Source organism: Homo sapiens, chromosome 3 (assembly GCF_000001405.40).
Source record: "Homo sapiens chromosome 3, GRCh38.p14 Primary Assembly".
NCBI classification, from domain to species: domain Eukaryota; kingdom Metazoa; phylum Chordata; class Mammalia; order Primates; family Hominidae; genus Homo; species Homo sapiens.
The window spans coordinates 151,110,164-151,130,314 of NC_000003.12; the positions used below are offsets into that span (position 1 = coordinate 151,110,164).

The 20,151-nt window shown below is 39.2% G+C and overlaps 1 protein-coding gene across 24 annotated transcripts in view; it reads left to right on the top strand.

The window, feature by feature from the left end:
• The window catches only part of MED12L (mediator complex subunit 12L), a 350,990-nt gene that overhangs the window by 24,500 nt on the left and 306,339 nt on the right, over positions 1–20,151 (top strand). For all 24 annotated transcript variants that reach the window (XM_017005676.2, NM_001393769.1, XM_017005678.2 and 21 more), the window contains 3 exons: positions 6,175–6,279; positions 12,620–12,811; positions 17,662–17,821. In XM_017005676.2, the coding sequence (XP_016861165.1) occupies positions 6,175–6,279; positions 12,620–12,811; positions 17,662–17,821 (457 nt within the window). The remainder of the gene's footprint in view (positions 1–6,174; positions 6,280–12,619; positions 12,812–17,661; positions 17,822–20,151) is intronic.

Genomic DNA, 20,151 nt, shown 5'->3' on the forward strand with positions numbered 1-20,151 from the left:
GGGGGTTTTAGAGGCATGCTGTTCCAAAATTTGGACTCTCCTCTTTCTATTTTTGCCTGATTAGACTTGACAAAAGCCTTCAGAGCAGTGTCATAAAAGTTTGTTATTTGAGTTCAGGTGACACGCATTACCTCTTGTTTGGAACCTCTTAATGCTGCCTAATACCATTAAGTGTCCATGTCCAGCCCAGTTTCCCAAACTTGGGGTCTAAGGACTCCCTGAGGCTGTGGTTTTCCTCTAAAAGGGGTCTATTGGTGCATTACTGGAGTTTGAGAAATAATGTCTAAGCAACAATAGTTAACACTCTGGAACTTGAATCTTATTCTTATCTTTTGGATTTTTGTCATTGATGTTAACTCTTCTCAGAAACTTCAGGAAATAGACCATCAAGGTGCATTTTTTTGGTTGTGATACTCTGGATTTTTACCTCCTTTCACTTAGTTTCTCTAGGTCCCTGACCTAAAGTTTTGTACTAATAAACCTCACAGAAGTGACAGCTTCTTTTTTGGCTCTGTGGCCCTAGTGTTCTATAGGAAGTTAAAGGAGTGAAGTGAAAACTTTATACGCTTGGTTCCTTCCTGGATCTGTATGTATGTTTGTGTGTGTGTGTGTGTAGCTTTGCATTTGTGCCCTTACAGTGAGAGAAGGAAGGGGGTATGGTAGAGAATTCTGAATGGACTTTTCCTCTTGGGATCTGCTGCTGTTGAGCCAAGATGGGACATCCATTTTCTTCCTGGTGGTGAGACCTGTACTGGCACTGGGCATGGAAACCCCGGTTTTCTAGAGAGGCAGAAACCTCAACTCTTCATGTTAGCATGGTCTCTGTATCAGCATCACCTGGGAAGTTGTTAGAAATACAGATTCTCAGGCACCACCCCTGACCTACTGAAGTGGGAACTCTGTGGGTGGGACCAGCAGCTGTGCTTTAGCAAGTTCTTCAGAGGATTCTGATAGATGTAAAAGTTAGAGAGCCACTGCTTTAAGGAAAGGGTCTTTTTATTTTCCCAAGAAGGTTTTTTGTATCTCTTCTGACTGGAGCTTCAGGTTATCACTTTCTGGAACCAAAAATATGATACGAACAATAGCAGCAATGCTAATTGCCAGCCATTTTTATATGGTTTGATGGTTGGGAGCATAGACTTTTTGGAATTCTTCACTACTGTGTGACCTTGGTCAAGTTAGTTTCTCTCTGGGCTTTATTTTTTTTTGAACTGGGTTATGGAGATAACATGGTAGAAACTATTACTATCCCCGTTTTACAATTGAGGAAACGGAGGCACAGCAATGGTCCCAGAGCTTGCTTAGAGTCCCTCTTAAATGGAGTAGGGGGTTTAAATTCGAGCTGTCTGATTGCAGACCCTGGGCTCTTACCCACAGTGCTGTCCCCACTCTTGTCTGCATCTCCATCAGTCAGTCTTAGCTGGTGCCAGCGTGTATCCACCTGGAACCACAACTGCGAGCCAGAGGATGGCCTAGTGAGTTGGAATTAGAGCATCCCCATTGTTGTCGTGTTGCAGCACGAGCAAGATTTTGACTGACACTTCAGTATGGAGCTCAGTGTTTCTTAAACCCAGAGCCTGTGAACCTCCTTTTCAGAATAGGGCTCTAAAAGATAAAAGCTATCCCTCTGGTGGGTCTGTGGCTCTCACTGGAAGTGCTGTGGAAATCTGGGCGGGGAAGAGGAGTTAGTTGGTTGTGGCTGCTACCATTGAGTGGGTGGGGCTGTCTTCAGTGCGCGGATGGGTGGGTTCCATGAAAAATTGTCCTGTGTCCCCTGCACTTTCAGATGTGTCACTGAAACCTTCAACTGTTTTTTTCCCATCTCAGATGGGAATCTGTTTTACGTATGATCTCAAAGTATTTTTTGTATGATTTTAATATACATTTAATACACACTGAGTTTCTGAGGAATATAACTGTTGCGTCTTACTATGTTGGGAGACTATTTTGTTAGTTTGAAACTGTAGCAAGAGTGTATCACAGTTTCAAAAAATTCATGTTATGCTCTTCCTGATCATTTGAAATGGCAATACAGCACACCTGTATCAGTTTGCATTTTGTAGTTACTATGTTGTGCTAATGCTAGGAATAGGAGCAAACATTTAACAATTTCTTTTTCTTTTTTTTTTTTTTTTGAGATGGAGTCTCGCTCTGTTGCCCAGGCTGGAGTGCAGCAGCACGATCTCTCCTCTCTGCAACCTCCACCTCTCGGGTTCAAGCAATTCTCTGCCTTCTAGGGCCCTGCTTCTTCAAAGTCTAATGTGTCCATGAATCATGTGGGAATTTGTTAAGAGGCTGATTGTGACTCTGGGGGAGGAGTGAGATTCTGCCTTTCTAACAGGCTTGCAGGTAATGCCAGTGCTCCAGGGCCATGGACCACACTTTCAGTTGTGAGAGTCCATTGTAGTGTGCCTGAGCGTTTCCTGTTGAAGTGCCTATTTTAAGTTACTTTCCTTTTTAAAAATTTTAGAACGAGAGCATTATATTGATTAAAAAATATTGATATAGGTAAGTTATCTATGAATTTCATTTCACACTAGGGAAATCGATGTTATAAAATGTTTGTTTTCAGGATGGTGTGTGGGGTTTGATGGGTTGAGTGCCCCTACTCTGGGTGACAAAGCAGTGCTAGTTAGAAACACAAATGAAATTACAACTCCAAATTCATGAGGTAGTGACTCAGAATATGCTCATGTTAATTGTTCAGAATAGGATGTCTTTCATTTATTCTTTGAACAAATATTTATTGAACAGCTGCGATGTGTGCTATTTGCCAGGCACTGCATCTGTGCACTCTGTGCTTGGCCTGCGTTTGTCAACAAAATAAAGATCCCCAGTTTTATGCACCTTATCTTCTTGTCGAGGAGACAGCCAATACACATTCTAAGTAAATTATAGTGTGTTTTAGGTGATAAATGCTATGGATTGTTGAAGGATTAGGAATGCTGGGAGGTAAAGGGAATGGGTGGACAGTTCCAGTTTTAAATAGGGTCATCACATTTCTCATTGAGAATGTGAAATTTGAGCAAAAAGTTAAGGTGGTCAGGTCATTGACCATGTGGATACCAGGAAAAAGAGCAGTCTAGGCAGAGGGAACAGACAGTGCAAAATCCCTGATTAGAGAATGCTGGGCTGGTGTGTTTGAGAAATTGCAAGGAGACTAGACAGTGTTAGTGAAGGGAAGTGTGGTTAGGGATGAGACCAGAAAGGTAATGGGGTTAAGATCACACAGGAACTTTTAGGACATCATAGGGCCTTTGCTTGTACTTTGAGTAAAATGGAGCATTTGGAGCAGGAGTGACATGGTCTCACTTGAGTTTTAAAAAGCTCCCTATGGCTGCTGTGGTCAAAGTGGCCTTCAGGGGGCAAGGGGAGAAGCTAGGAGACCAGTTAGGAGACATTGCATTGCGTAAGCATGAGATGATGCAGTGGTGGTAATGAGAAGTGGTCAAATTCTACATGTATTTTTGTGAAATTTAGAATGCAAAGTTTAAACTTCTCAGAACTCAAAGCTCCCAATAATATCTGTGTGGCTCCTAGTTTGAGGAAAATCTGAGGTAGATGACAGATATGTATCCATTGTTCCATGTTCTTTTCCTTCTGGGGATTCTGAGTTTGTGCACACACTCAGGAGTGGGTGTGTCTCTTCATCCCAGCGATTAGCAGTTGGATACAATGAGCAGCTATCTGATCTGGTGTTAGTTTAAAGTAAAAACTGAAGCAATACTAAACTATCTGGTTCTTAAAATCTCACACATTCTTCTTGATTAGGCCAGAATGTATTTTTAGTAAAAACATATGCTGTTACTCAATGTTTCTTATAATACTCTGACGGCAAATCAAAGATAAATATTCAGTTTTCTCATCCTACTTTCCCCCTGAGCTCACTGCTGGTACTCCTACTTTCTTAGACTCAGAGACTACTGAAATTTTGGTAGCACATTTGCTTTAAGTTGACTGAAACCTTTCTGACTTAAAATATGCATTATGTAGTTTTGCTCTATATTTTCACATAATTTATTTGAAAATGTAGGAGCAGTTTGGAGATATCTTCTGATAATGTACACGTAACTCATATTCTGTGCGGATCACGATTTCAGTGACCTATGCTTGGAGGAGACTTGATTACCATAGAGTGAAATTTCCTATAGCGGGGTCTTTTGAAAACCCGCCAAAACAGTGGCCCGCCAAGGCATTAGTAAGAGCACACATAATTAAGTAAAGTTACATGGCATGTCTCCAGGAGACCTCTTTCTCAGCTAGGGTGACCTTTTTAGAGTTTGGTTAGGTGCTTAAATGTCATAAACTATTTTGTTCTAAGCTTCTTGATTAATCATAGCGGTGATTTTGATCAATTGCTGTTTTTCATTTTATGCATTCAGCAGTTACATAGAGGAATAAGTGTATCTTATTCTTGTGCCGTGGCTACCATTACTCCAACTGTTACTAGGATTATTTCTTGGCTTGGAGTGAGGGGAGCAGGAGGTAGCTTCATTTACTCAAATCTCTCCCTCTTATTCTTTCAGGTCTGTATTTTAGGAACTCTGATGTAGTTCCATAACTCAATGATAATCTGGGTAGGGCAAGAAGGTTTTTTTTTTTTTTCTTTTTTAAAGCCTTGGGTTATTTTTGATGTGTTGTGACCTTGGAAAAGTATTCCTGTATCTATCCAGTAGGAGATCTTTTTAAGGAGAGTAGGAGTTGTAGGCACATATTTTTAGACCACATTTTCATGTGGCATTTGTTCTTTGGTGGCATGGTGTCATGGAAATTTCTCTTCCTAGTCTAGGATTTAGAAGATAGTATTTCCGTGCTGGCTTTGTCCAATTGCTGCACTAGCTTAGTGAGGCACACTTTTCTCATCTGTACAACGGGCATGAAGATACATACCTACTGTCTCCCTTGGAATTGGAGTTGGCAAAGATCAAGTGAGCCAAAATACGTGAGAAAACATTGCAGCTCTAAACTTCCCTTCAGTTGTAGGTTGTGATGTTGTGTGGCTGTAATCATAAGGCGTGTGCCTAGGAACCTTTTGTTTCTGTCTTTAATTTACTGTTAGTCTTGGGTAAGTTGGTGAGCCAGCTTTCTTAAACATAAAACAGGTGTGTGCATAGGGGTTGGCCAGGAATGGAGAAACAAACTGTGGGCTCTCTGGAAACAATTCTTTTTTTTTTTTTTTTTTTTTTTTTTTTTTTTTTTTTTTGAGATGGAGTCTCACTCTGTCACCCAGGCTGGAGTGCAGTGGTGTGATCTCGGCTCACTTCAACCTCCGCCTCCCAGGTTCTAGCGATTTTCCTGCCTCAGCCTGCAGAGTAGCTGGGATCACAGGCACCTGCCACCACGCCCAGCTAATTTTTGTTTTTAGTAGAGATGGGGTCTCCCCATTTTGGCCAGGCTGGTCTTGAACTCCTAACCTCAGGTGATCCACATGCCTTGGCCTCCCAAAGTGCTGGGATTACAGGCATGAGCCACCGCGCCCGGCCTGGAAACAATTCTTAAAAAAATCCTATCATTTTATATTTCGGTGAGATTTTTGCTCATTTTTTTCTTTTTCTAACTTATAAGTAAAAAAAAATCTAAACTTACAGGAAAGTTAAAAGAATAGTATAATGGGCCAGGTGGGGTGGCTTACACCTGTAATCCCAGTACTTTGGGAGGCTGAGGCCAGAGGATCACTTGAGGTCAGGAGTTTGAGATCAGCCTGGCCAAAATGGTGAAACCCCATCTCTACTAAAAGTACAAAAATTAGCCGGGCATCGTGGCAGGCGACTGTATGTAATCCCAGCTACTCGGGAGGCTGAGGAAAAGGAGAATGGCTTGAACCCGAGAGGTGGAGGTTGCAGTAAGCCGAGATTGCGCCGCTGCACTCCAGGCTGGGCGACAGAGCGAGACTCCATCTCCAAAAAAAAAAAAAAAAAAAAAAAGAATAGTATAAGGAATACCCATATACTCTGCACCTAGAGTCAACAGTTAACATTTGCTTCATCCCTCTACACATTTATGTGTTTATGTATTGGTGTTTAAACTTCAATTTCTGCCTTCTCTGATTGTTGTCCTTTCAAGAGTTCTCCTCTACAGAGTATAACAAATTTAGCCATTACTTAGGATGCAATATGTGGGATTATGTTGAAGCTTTTACATCCTTCTGCTTAATCAATACCGTCTCTTGAACAGGATGAACTTACTGCTGTGAATGTAAAGCAAGGCTTCAATAATCAGCCAGCCTTCACTGGAGATGAACATGGCTCAGCCAGAAATATTGTAATTAACCCATCAAAGGTAATGTTATTTGTTTGTTTCCTCAAACTCCTGAAAAAGTGTGTATATGTGACACCCTTAATAATCACTGTTGATAAATTAGTGTTGTTTAAGCCACAGTCCATATTCAGATTTCCCCCAAATACCATGTATACCGTCCTGCCCCAGGATCCAATCAGGGATCATACATTGCATTTCCTTGTCACATCTTTTAATTTAGTACAGTACAGCTCTCTGCCTCTCCCTCCTCCCCATTCCTGCCTTTTTTTAAAAAGGCTTTTATGACTGCTATTCTAGAAGAGCCCAGGTCAGTTGTCTGACATACTAGTGCTATATTCTAGATTTTTCTGATTGTTTTCTCATGACGGGATCCAGGTTAGATATTTTTGGTAAGAAGACTACATTGCATCATACCAGGAGACACACAATGCCAGTTTGCCCTACTATTGGCTATAGTTTGATCGCTTGGTCCGGGTGGTGTCTACCATCTCCCTGCATTGGAAAGGTAGTCCTCTCTACCTCTTAGTAAGGTCTACAAGGTGATAATTTGAGAGGATATAAATATCCTATTCTTCAGTAAAAGTTCATCCTGTTATTTTAGCATCAGTTGATGACTCCTGCTGAATGATTTATTTTGCTGGTGATTGCAAAATGCAGGTTTTCTAATTATTCCATACGCATGTTTTACTTGGCATTCTTTTATTAAAAGAAGTGCTTTCTTTTAAACTCAAGTTTTTATTGTCACTTTGGATTCTTTTTTTTTCTTTTAATTTGTCGTGTTATAATCCGTACCTTCATTTTTCTTTTTGATGCTCAAATTGTTTCATGTTCTGCCAGTAGGGGCCCCGCTAACCTGGCTGCTGGTTAAATGTCCTTGTCATCCTTTGAGCACTTCTTTACTTTTGGCACCAAAACATATTCCAAGTTTATCTTGTTCTTTCCCAAACCAGATCTGGATGCTCAGTGCTACTGGAGTGTCATTCTTTCTAGGCTTTCTCAGTGGACAGAGATGGGACACATAGATACATATTTTTTCTACCTACCTATCATTACCTTTTCTAGCCCAGTGCTGCAGGGTATTTCCCCTGCTTTTTCGTATTCCGTTTTTAGGTCTCCCTTCTCCCAAAGTGAGAACCCTGGCTCTTAATAATATCAATATATTTATTCATTTATTCCGCCTTACAACACACATAAAAAAGTTCCAGAATAAAATACTTCATTGCCACTCCAACAACAAAACCACTGAATAAATGTAGAATTTTTCTACAATACTTTTTGCCCTTAGACTAACTCTCATTAAAAGTGTATACTCAGAATGTTGTGCTCAAAAAATTTTTTTAAAATTAAATGTCTTTTTCTGTGTGTTTATCTTATCAATTAGGAATATAGGCTGGCGTGGTGGCTCACACTTGTAATCCCAGCACTTGGGGAGGCCGAGGCAGGAGGATCACCTGAGGTCAGGAGTTCGAGACCAGCCTGGCCAACATGGTGAAACCCTGTCTCTACTAAAAATATAAAAATTAGCTGGGTGTGGTGGTGGGCGCCTGTAATCCCAGCTACTTGGGAGGCTGAGGCAGGAGAATTGCTTGAACCCAGGAGGCGGAGGTTGCAGTGAGCCGAGATTGCGCCGCTGCACTCCAGCCTGGGTGACAAAGCTAGACTCCATCTCAAAAAAAAAAAAAAAAAGGAATGTAAATAGAATTGTTTGTGTTTCTATTTGTAATCTTTTAGGGTTTTTTTTATATATATATTTTGAGTTGGATGTTAAAATACTTTTGTGAAATTAAAAACACACATACAAATGAAAAGAAATCAGACATGCAGGTGAATTTCTATTTCCTTTCCCTTCTCCAGAGAAACATGTTAATGGTTTGTGTATCATTCCAGATCTCTCTTTATGTGCACACAAATATATAAATAATTGACAATTTGTTAAACTATCAACTGAAATATTACTTAAGCAGTGTGAAAGAACATAGAAACATTTTCTGCAGATAGTCCTATTGACTAAACACGTTTTTAGTTTTGTCTTTTTTCAATCTTGGTACAATTTTTTACGTTACAACCGCAATTATGTATATGTAATTTATGATTCTTTTTTAAAATTATGATAAAACATACATAACATTTACCATTTAACCATTTTTAAGTGTACAGTTCTTGGGTATTAAGTACATTTGCATCGTTGTTGCAAACATCAACCATTGTCACTATCCATCTCCAGAACTTTTTTTTTTTTTTTTTGAGACGTATTCCAGGTTTATATTCCTCTCCCCCAAACCAGATCTACAAGGTGGAGTCTTGCTCCGTCGCCCAGGCTGGAGTGCAGTGGTGCAATCTTCGCTCACTGCAACCTCTGCCTTTCAGGTTCAAGCCATTCTTCTGCCTCAGCCTCCCGAGTAGCTGGCTGCACCCGCCTCCACACCTGGCTAATTTTTGTATTTTTGTAGAGACAGGGTTTCACCATGTTGGCCAGGATGGTCTCGGACTCCTCACCTTAAGTAATCTGCCTGCCTTGGCCTCCCAAAGTGCTGGGATTACAGATGTGAGCCACTGTGCCCGGCCTCAGAGCCTTACCATCTTTCTTAATTGGTCTACTTTAAAAAATTGAAACATTATTTTGTATGCACTTTTCCTTATGGCTAAAGTAGTCATATGAATAATAATTCATGGCTAGATAACATTCGATGATGTATGTGCTGTAATTGACTGAAACCTCTATATACAGCAGTTAGTCTGTTGCCAATTTCTCATGGTTATGTATAAAGAAACTGTAGTCATACTTGAAAGTATAGCTTTTGTTCTTTAGGATAAATTCCCTGAATTGTATTACTACTTGGTTAAAGGGTGTATTAATCTACCAGGGCTGCTATAACAAAATACTTCAGACTGGGTGTCTTAAACAACAGAAATTTATTTTCTCACTATCTGAAGGCTGGAAGTCCAAGATAAGGTGTCAGCAGGTCTGGTGTCTCCAGATGCGTCTCTCCTTGGCTTGCAGATGACCACCTTCTCACTGTGTCTTCACATGGTCTTTTCTCCTTGTGTGTTCCTCCGTGGTGTCTCCTCTTATAAAGTCCTACTGGATTAGGGCCCAGTCCTGTCACCTTATTTAACATTAATTACCTCCTTAAGGCCCTATCTCCAAATATAGTCACATTGAGGGTTAAGGCTTGAGGATGAATTTTGAGGATGCAATTTAGTCTCATAACAGAGAGTATGAATGCTTTATGTCTCTTGATATGAACTGCTAAATTGTTCAGTTGTATAAAGTTTTATGTCAGTTTAAATAACTAAGTAAATGGAAATAACATCTATTACACTTCCGCTACCACTCTTTCTGTGAGATTTACTCAAGGACCCAAGACTTCTGAGGGGAATTTGATTTTATAAATATGAAATACATGAATTATAATGTAACTCCTAAATTTTTTCCCCACATTCTTATCAAATGAATTATTTTTGAAAATAGCTTTGGATGGATGGAAACAAATGTTAAATTTAACCTTATTTCTGGCCGTGTGTGGTGGCTCACACCTGTAATCCCAGCACTTTGGGGGGCTGAGGCAGGTGGATTATCTGAAGTCAGGAGTTCGAGACCAGCCTGGCCAACACGGTGAAACCCTGTCTCTACTAAAAAAAAAAAAAAAAAAATTAGCTGGGTGTGGTGGTCGGCACCCATAATCCCAGCTACTCTGAGAGGCTGAGGCAGGAGAATCGCTTGATCCCAGGAGGCAGAGGTTGTAGTGAGCCGAAATCACACCAGTGCATTCTAGCCTGGATAAGAGAGTGAGACTGTCTCAAAAAAAAAAACAAAACGAAAAACCAAAAACAAACAAAAAACACCTTACCTCTTATACCTTGTTTGCGGGAGTACACAACTCTATAAACCTTTTAGAGGGCAATTTGGCAATGCTTATTAAAATTGCAGAATTATACAGTCTGAATTCTGGAAGCCTAGCCTAAAGCTCCAGCTGACTATGTATGAAATAACAAATGTGAAAGGCTACTTATTTTAGTGTGATTCGTAATAGCAACATTTTGCAAAAAATGCTGTAAATGTCCATTAATGGTAGCTTGATTAAATGTATATCCACACAGTACATTGTTATGTGTCTATAAAAATGAAGAAGCTTTCTGTATACAGATAAGGAAGGGTCTCATTTACTAAGTGTGCATAATGAGCTATACATACAAGGAAGAAAAAAATAATAGATGTGTGTTTACTCACCTGTATCCACATAAGGAAACAATGGAAGGACACATAAGAAATGAATCAAATTGTTTACTTGGAGGTAGACATTGGGACTTGGGAATGAGGCGGCTCTTTACTTTTTATTGTATTTATGGATTGATTTCTGAATAATATATATTGCTATTGCAATTAAATGTTATAATCATGTTTTGACCTTTTTTGGAGCCCTAATGTGTATTTTCTAGTCTTTTGCTTTCTTGGGAATTTTGACTTTGTTAACAGTATGCATTTGTTTACAAGGGCTTGTTAGCAGGAATTAATACATAAACATGCAGTCACTGTGTTCCATTGCTATCATTAAGTATATAGGAGAATATAATTATAAAATAGATTGCTCAGACTACTTTTTTCATTTTTAGAGCTCTGCTTGTTATTATTAAATACTTAAAGATAATTGCAAATAAGAGACCTTTTGAATGTATAGCAATCTGCAGCTGTAGGTGTTTTGTGCTCTTGGTGCAAAGACCAAATATCAATTGAGAAATTTAAAATTAAACAATTGGCTGCTACTGGCTGCTTGTTTCCAAACAGCTGGTTTTCCTACATTTTTGCACTTAATTTATTCACTGTTTGGACATCCTGCAAATATTTGCTTTGAAAGAAATCACAAACTGCAATGAAGTTGTTTGTATAAAAAAAAGACGGACTCCTTTTCTACTTATTCTAATTTTTATTATTGTATTACGTTAACACACCAAAACCAGACTTCATGGCATTACATCAATCACAAAGATCAAAGAATGTCAGGCTTTTTACCCTATAGATGAATTTGGCTAATGGCTTACAACTGTGTTTCAACCTATAGACTAATTGTTTATTGACTCATTAACTAAGGTGGTGATTCTTATTTTGCTTCAACAGGGTAAGTATTTTATTTTAGTCATGGTTGCCACTTTCTGCTAACTTCATTGGGGATATTTATCAGAAATTAACTGCATCATTGTATTAAAGAACTCCCAGAGTCTGAAATGTGATGCTTTGATAGGATTCTTGAAAAAATTCCAACAGATTTTCTATAGATTCACTGAATTTATTTTTTATTTTTATTTTTATTTTTGAGATGGAGTCTCACTCTGTCATCCAGGCTGGAGTGCAGTGGTGTGATCTTGGCTCACTGCAACCTCTGGCTCCTGGGTTCAAGTGATTCTCATGCCTCAGCCTCCCGAGTAGGTGGGATTATAAGCGCATGCCAGGCTAATTTTGTATTTTTTTTTTTTAGTAGAGATGCGGTTTCACTGTGTTGGCCAGGCTGGTCTCGAACTCTTGACCTCAGGTGATCCGCCTGCCTTGGCTTCCCAAAGTGCCGTGATTACAGGCGTGAGCCACCATACCCAGTGAGATTCACTAAATTTTTAGATATTACTTTGTTCTTTGCCTTCTTGTTACTTCTTTCCTGTTCCTTTCTTTTTTCCTTGTCCATCTTTAATTTGGTTAATATGAAAATGATACAGTAATTCATAGTAGCTTTCTTTGCCACTTTGCCTCATTCAGAGCAGGTAATACTAGCTTTCTCTTGAAACATTGTAGTTTTGAAATTGGCAGCCCAATAAAAAATGTTGAATACCAAATTTAATTGAACCTTTTGTAATTTTCCATTTAAATAAATTAAATTTCTCTAGACTCTTTGTTTAAAAGCATTGAGTGTAAATACCGAGTTTCCTTTCCAAAAATAAGTGCTATTAAGATGAAACAAGAAAAAGAATGATTACCGAGTGATTACTAGGCTTTCTCCTCTCAGGGAAAGCATTCTCTCCTGACGGGTGCGTAGTATTAGAAAGGAGAAAGAGCAGCTGAAGGATTAAAGCAGAACCCATTCTACTGAAATTTATTCAGGATGTAATTAATTTCATCTTAGCAGAGATTTCCAAAGGCTCTCCTTAACCCCCTCCGCCAAACTACTTGTGAGTAGTGGTATAAAGGTGCTGTGTATCAGAGTTAGTGTAAGGAAATCACATCTCTTGGCTTCAAAGACTTAAATTCCCAATTTATTTTCTGATGGGATGTATGAAGATTTTCAATTGAAACAATAAAGAAAAATACTAATGTACAGTACTAAGCTACTTGCTTATTGTCTTAACTTTCCCTTTTTTTCTCTTCTTTCCACAGATTGGAGCTTATTTTAGCAGCATATTAGCTGAGAAACTGAAGCTTAACACTTTCCAGGACACGGGAAAGAAGAAACCACAAGTTAATGCTAAAGATAATTATTGGCTGGTTACTGCTCGATCCCAGAGTGCAATTCATAGTTGGTTTTCTGACTTAGCAGGAAATAAGCCACTTTCTATTTTGGCAAAAAAGGTATCAAATATTTCTTACATTGTTTTAGTTATGGTCTTATAATCAGCTGTTTGGGATAATATTCAAGTATATATTTGTTTTTCCCAATTCTTTTTGAGACTGCAAGCCTATTGGCAGGTTTGTGGTCCCAGGTGGGTGTTACTCCATGCTGTTTTCCCCTTTATTTTGATTGCATGTAGTGCCTAGGACATCTATAAATCCCTAAACATTCTGCATATCAAGCTGTTTATGTGGATTTTAGGTAGACAAGATTTTAAAATCAAGAACAGGCAAGAAGCCTTCATTTAAAAAAAAATTACATTTCCAGTTTTCTTAGGCCAAGATGTCCAAGATTTGTTAAAAAGATTCTTGCTTTGAGGTTATTTTCTTGTCTTTAAAAGTATCCATCCAAATGCTTCAAGCTGTCTCCTTCCTACCAAGCAAGATAAAGATTGTGATTCTGTGTGTGCTTGTTCTTTGAAAAATTTTTAGAACAAAATGGGCAGGTTTATTCATAGCTTCTAGCTTTTTTTATAGGGGAGGGGATGTGGGAGGTTCTTTTAAAATCTTTGCCTTTGGTCATTTTTCTCAAGTGGGAAATAATACATAGATTCAACAATCTTGTGGTCCAAACAGTATAAGATACCTCTTGAAATTTATATAAGAAACTAGAAACCTCGCTTATAGTCCTGATCTCTGATTTCTTGCACAACTTTGAAATAATCCCAGGGGTCTTTTCTTATCTCTTCTAAGGCCCTTTAGTGTTAGGAGTGCCTGTCTTCTGTTCTTAGTATTAAGTTTTCCTTACCAGCTTGGTACAGGCCCAGTTTATAGGGGAGCTCTTTTGTATATTTGCCTATTTTCCAAAGCAACTCTTTGAAAATAGTGTCTGTAGCTTCCATTGGCTTTATTTTGCCTTAATGTCATAACATTGTATTGCCTTGCATAGATTTCAGTGGTGAAAGGCAACTGAAATCTTGGAAGAGTGTAACAGTCAGCATAACCACCTCTTACCATTCAGTTAGTACCACTGTCTCAATCCAGGCTGAACCATGTATGACTTCTTTTCCAGTGGTGAATATTTACTTTGTGGTCCCACTGTGGCCTATGAATTGTATCTGAAGGCCATATAAGTCATAGGGCATCCTTCAATATTTGATGGCTGTTGACTAACAGTTCATACTTTCCATGTTGCCAGCCTGACATCTTTCCATTTAGGTTTTCTTTTTTCATAAGTTTTTAGAGTGCATATTTTGGATTTGCTACTCTTGAGGAGTTGATGCCCTTGCTCTAGCGAAGTAGTGGTTTCTCCTCTTGTAGGAGGAAGTTGAATCATGGTGCAGTGTGTTAGCCATTATTCTTCTTTCTTTATTGGGAGCTGCCTCTGGCCAAGTCAGGTGTTCCTCAGGTAAGCCCTGATGTTAATTCTTTGCAAACTTGAAGATGGTTTCTTTATAAAATGATTAAATATACCTTGAATTATTCATTTCTTGAGCATTTCAAGAATCCTTCCCCTTCCCTCCTCAGCATATCATCTTCTTGAGATGGTGAAATCTCTTTTAGAATGGGGTAAAGCAATACATTCTCTGCATGTTCTTCATAATAGAAAGTTCAAATACTTCTTTAATTTTTGGTATTCATCTGTGCGATGGCTTAAGGTTGAAAGCCTGGGTTTACTTGCTAAGATCCTGAGTCATCTTTGAAATCTTACCTTGAGTTCATAATAGTTTCCTGTATGGATCATGTTTCAGGACCTGGTTTTCTGCTACTGTGAAGCTTCACAGCGCGCCAAGGCGTTTATCCACAGAGAGGCTTGTAAAGGACCTTTTAACTCAATCACAATTGTAGATAGATTTGGAAAAGGAGACTTCTGGCATCTAGGGATATTCTTCCAGGTCTTGAGCAGTTCATTAACTCTCACCTGTTCCCTTCAGGTGACTTTGATTACTGTGGTCTGTGAAATTTTCTTTTGCCTTTACCCTTGCTTAGCAAACAGAGGATGCAGTGATAACGTGCATCCAAGGAGAAAGGTGATAGGACACCCTTTTGTGGATTGAAAGCCAGCACATGCTAGGTGTCTTAATTTTCTCTGTACTTAGATGCGGCTGTAGCTTGATTTAGAACCAGACAACTGCCCTGTGATTGCCAAGTTTTAGCTATCATTTAAAATCAGATGGATTCTTTACTGAATAACATGTAATGCAACAAGGTGAGGAAGTCAATACTTTAGTCAATATAAACGTATTTTTCTTTTTGAGTGGGCCCAACTGTAGATTTGACAAAATTATTAATATGTGTCTGGTCGGTCTGCTTTCTTAATTGAGTAACTTCTTTCACATATGTTCTTCTTAATTCCGAAGTCTTGATTTGCATCAGCCAGTTCTCATGGGGTTCTGCTAGTACGGAGACAGTGAGGTAGAGGTTTGCATTGTGCTGTTAATGTAAGATCTGTGCTGAGTTTTGTTTGCTGTCTCATCTAAACATTTCACAAATTCAGATGTTTTATTTTTTCCCCTCTGCCAATTGTAGTTCAAAGGAAATCCTTTAGGCATCTGTGAAAGATAACTACTAGTGGTGACTGTGTTGGAGATGCTAACTTGCGCTTGTTTATGTTTTAGGCCTTGACCTGTATAACCTTTTGGCATGTCTGAATGAGAGACAGTCTCACCTTGACAATGAAAATTTAACTCACTGACACCACACTGTACATTCTAGTGAAAAGCAGCAACTCGGGTCTTGAACTGAATATTGAACTCTGTGCTTTTCTTGTCCCTGACTTAAATGATGGCCAGTAAACCGAGAGCCTTGTGCTCCATGAGAGATGTGCCTTGTAAGCCTGATTTTCAGGAAATGTTCCTGTTAAGTTGTATCTTTTTTGTCTAAAAGAGATAAAATTTAGTATCTGTCTGCAGAGAGGAAGCCTTCTAGCGTTGGCCTATATGACTTTTATCTCCTGTTTAGTTGTGTTGTGTGCAGTGTAATCGCCTCTGTCATGGGGTCTGTGTTCTGAAGTCAGCACCCAAGGCAGGAACTGTACATGACCTAAAGTCTCTTCAATTGCCCATAAAATATGTATGTGGATATACTGCATCCTCTTTTTTTTTTTTTTTTTTGAGACATGATCTTGCTGTATTGCCCAGACTGGAGTGCAGTGGCATGATCTTGGCTCACTGCAACCTCCACCTCCCAGGCTCAAGCAATTCTCCCACCTCAGCCTCCTGAGTAGCTAGGGCCACAGGTGTGTGCCACCACACTCACCTGATTTTTATATTTTTAGTAAGGTTTTGCCATGCTGCCCAGGCTGGTCTCAAACTCCTAGGCTCAAGTGATCCACCTGCTTCTGCTTCCCAAAGTGCTGGTATTAATAGTCCTGAGCTGCCGTGCAGGGCCTATATGCTGCATCTTACTGTGCAACCCAGGCAGCTTTTCCTTCAGCATTGAAAAGCTTTATGGTTCTTTGGCAAGACCAGGTGAAATAGTTTGCTTGTTTTTAAGGGCCACATACTAAAAGAATGAGCTCTTAAAAAGAATTATTCTAGGATCACACTTTGTACCAAGTGTGTGAATGGTCAAATTTGTGACATGTCAGTGCACAGATATCCACTGTATGAGTGAGGATTTGGTTAAGAGAAAAATGCCATGCTATATCAATCAGTTAGCTGGTTTGAAGCCTTGATTTTCACAAAATCAAGTAAGAGTTTGGGACAGAGAGACCAGGGCTCTTGGTATTTATAGTAGTGATGTTCAGGATCCTCTAAGAAAGGGTCACATCCATGGCCTGAAAGCACTTTGGTTGGCATGGAGAAATCCTTGGAACTGACAACAAAATAATCATTGTAATTTTGATTCATGTAATTGTTTTGCTTTATCCTTATAACTACCCTGTGAGGTGGACAGGGTTGATGTTAATAACACAGCTCATAAATGAGGATCCCAGGAATGAAGGGCTTAGCCAAACAGGTTTCATTCAGGAGTGGAGTACAGAGGGGGTCATGGCTGGCGTGGGGCATGTCCTTGGCCCTCAGTCTCATTGCTCTCATCCTGCTGCATCGTGGCTAATATAGTCTTTGTTCACTGTTTTTCTTCCTTTATATTCATAAACTTGAATAGATGATATAGATGAATGGGCTATTCTTAGGATATTTATGAGGGATACTAGAAGAATGAATTAACTCTTTCAAACCATTCAGTGTACATTGGGATACTAATTTGCTAAATAGTACCTTTGTGGTCTGGAAGACATAATTAACTGCCTCAAGTGCCTAATTTCAACCAGTAAATTAATTACCTAGCTATTTCTGGCTCAGTGTTTATTAGGCAGATTCACTGATCCATCATTGTAGTCTCTCTTTTAAATTTTGTACTAATGTCACTTTTAGAAGCTTTCTGGAAATTGTTACTCTTATGAAATTTTAATCAGAAAGCTTTGTACACACACAAAAAAAGGTCCTGGATAAAATATAGAGTAGGGACAATTTTCACTTGGTCTGTCCCTTCCAATTTTGAGATAAATTCTTTGGAGGACTGTCATGAAATTATTTTTCCTTGCTCTGTTGATAAGATGAGTAGCTCTCAGCATCTGAGAATTTGAAAATCATTTATTTAAAAAAAATGGAAAGCACAACTAGTGAAAGTTTTATATTGTGCTACACCTAGTTTTGATTATTTTTTTCTTAATGAAAATTGGCTTAAAATGTTCCTTTAAAAAAACAAAAACTACATGCACTATTTGAAAATCCATCAAGGATATACTTTCTTAGGGCCAGCAGGTAACTTACAGACTCTTTCTTTTGCTTCCCCTTTATTTAGGTTTATCTAGTGATGAACACAGTACGTGATTATTATAAATATACTATGTTGTTTCTTTTTAGGTTCCTATCCTTAGTAAAAAAGAGGATGTTTTTGCATATTTAGCTAAATATTCTGTGCCAATGGTTCGAGCAACGTGGCTGATCAAGATGACTTGTGCCTATTATTCTGCTATATCTGAAGCTAAAATTAAGAAACGTCAGGCTCCTGATCCGAATTTGGGTAAGTGAGAGAATACAATACACCTTACATTTCATTATTGATTTTGCAAGTAATTGTTGCCTGTACCCTCTGGATACAGCCCAGCATGGTGAGTGTTGAGAAGGTCCGTGGTGAGACTGATTTGCTCGGGTATGGATAGGGCAGCTGTTCCTAGTTCACTCAGTCTCAGAATCCTGACTCCATTAGCAAGGGCTGTTGATCTTACTGCCAAAATATATCCTGAATCTGAACACTTTTCACCACCACAGCTGTTGAAATGCTGGTTCAAGCCACCGACATCTCTTAACTGGTTGGAGTCACAGCCTTCTAGCAGCTTTCTCTGCTGTTACTTTTGCTCCTTACATTGTATTCTCTGCATAACTACTATACTAATCTCCAAACCTAAATGGTATATTGTGTTTCTATTTATAAATTTGCAGCAATTTTTTATTACAGTGGGAATACAGATCCAGATTCTTTACTGTGGCCAGTGAAGTCATCGCTGATCTGCCCCCACCCCCGGCTCCCCCCCTTCCTGTGATGTTCCAGCCACAGTGCCTTCCTTCTATCTCCCTAATATGCTGAGCAGAGCTCCTTCCCTTTTCAGGGCTTCTGTGTTTCTTGTTTGTTGTACTTGGTTGGTCTTCTCTGGAATATTTGCATGCTTCTGTCTCTTCATTGCAGCTTTGGCTCAAATGTCATTTCTGCAGGAGGCTTTCTCTGGCCACCTACCTAAATTGCATTCCCTCTCTTTCTCTCTTCTCCCTCTACTTCTGGTTATGTTCTCACGTTATTATTTTATTCAATGTCCATCTCAATATCTGAAATTATGTTTAAAATATTTGTATCTGTCACTCTGTGCCCCACCTCACATACACTAAAATGTAAGGCCCATAAGGGCAGGAATGTTGGTCTTATTCTCACCAAGTCCCCAGTGTCCAGAGTTATGCTGGCCATGGTCAGTATTTTGAGTCAGAGTCCCCACTATGTTGGTTTCTAGACTGTGACTTCTTGAGGTGGTGCTAAAGCATGCTTTGTAGAAGATGTGATGCTAAACCAGAAATGTACATAAAGAGTTATATATAAATATGACCATTTAGAGATTGGGTTTATAAATAATTCCTTATGAAATGAAAACAGCTTATGGTTTTGTAAGGGAGAGTCCAATCACAAATCTCTGAGGAGGAGGGACAGAAAGTACAGACGTCTTCAGATGCCAGGTGGTGCCCTGGATAAATGAGTTGGGGTATAAAGTGGTGGGGAGTGGTGTGATTGGAGCACACTCTAAAAAGCATGAACACTTAAAATTAAAAACAAAAACATGGTCTGAATTCTGTGGCTGCCATCTTTGAGTTCAGCATCATCCTATACGTGTTAAAAGAAATAAGCAAAAAGAAACTGTATTTTAGAGAAGAAATGCCCAGGAAAAAATACTAGAAGGTAGTAATCCACAAGTTAACAGTGATGGCCTCTTAGTGTTGTTTTCACGGTGGTCTTCTATTATCTTTATATTTCTCTGAGTTTATTCCCCCCATCAGCATTTTATTTTATTTGAGGGAATACAAAAGAAGTGCCCCTTTTTATTACTAAAGTAATACATTTTCATTACAAAATTTTCAAATAGTGCTGAAGTAGATACAACATGATGTTCAGGTTTCTCTTCTCCCTTCTCCTCTGTTATCCTTTTTGAAGTTTCATTCATTCAGCAAAGTTCAGCCTTCACACACACATATTTCTTCATATATCTACATTTGTGTGTGTGTGTGTGTGTGTGTGTGTGTGTGTGTATCTCCACTGGATTAACTTATTTATTTATTTATTTTTAGAGGTGGGGGGTCTCAGTCACCCATGTTGGAGTGCAGTGGCATGATCATAACTCACTGCTTCCTCAAACTCCTGGGCTGAAGTGATCTTCCTGCCTCAGCCTCTCAAGTTGTTGGGACTATAGGCGTGTGTCACCATGCCTGGCTAATTCTTTAATGTTTTGTAGAGACAGGGTCTCACTGTGTTGCCCAGGCTTTTTTGGAATGCCTGGGCTCAAGTGATCCTCTCACCTGCACCACCCAGAGTACTGGGATTACAGGGTGAGCCACTGCCCAACCAGTCTCCATTGGATTTATTAATACTTCTCCCCAGGACCTGGATATCCAATTGCTTACTAGCCACCTTCACTTTGATGACATCTGAAGTGTCTGAATCGGCATCTGAACCATAATGTATATCAAATCAAGGTCTTGATTTCTTGTCATCCCTTAACTGTTTCTTCCTGACATTTCTTCTTAGTAAATGTTATGTGTAGTTATTGGATGGGTAAGGGTAAGAGCCAAATTGTCATTCCTGGTATTTATCTT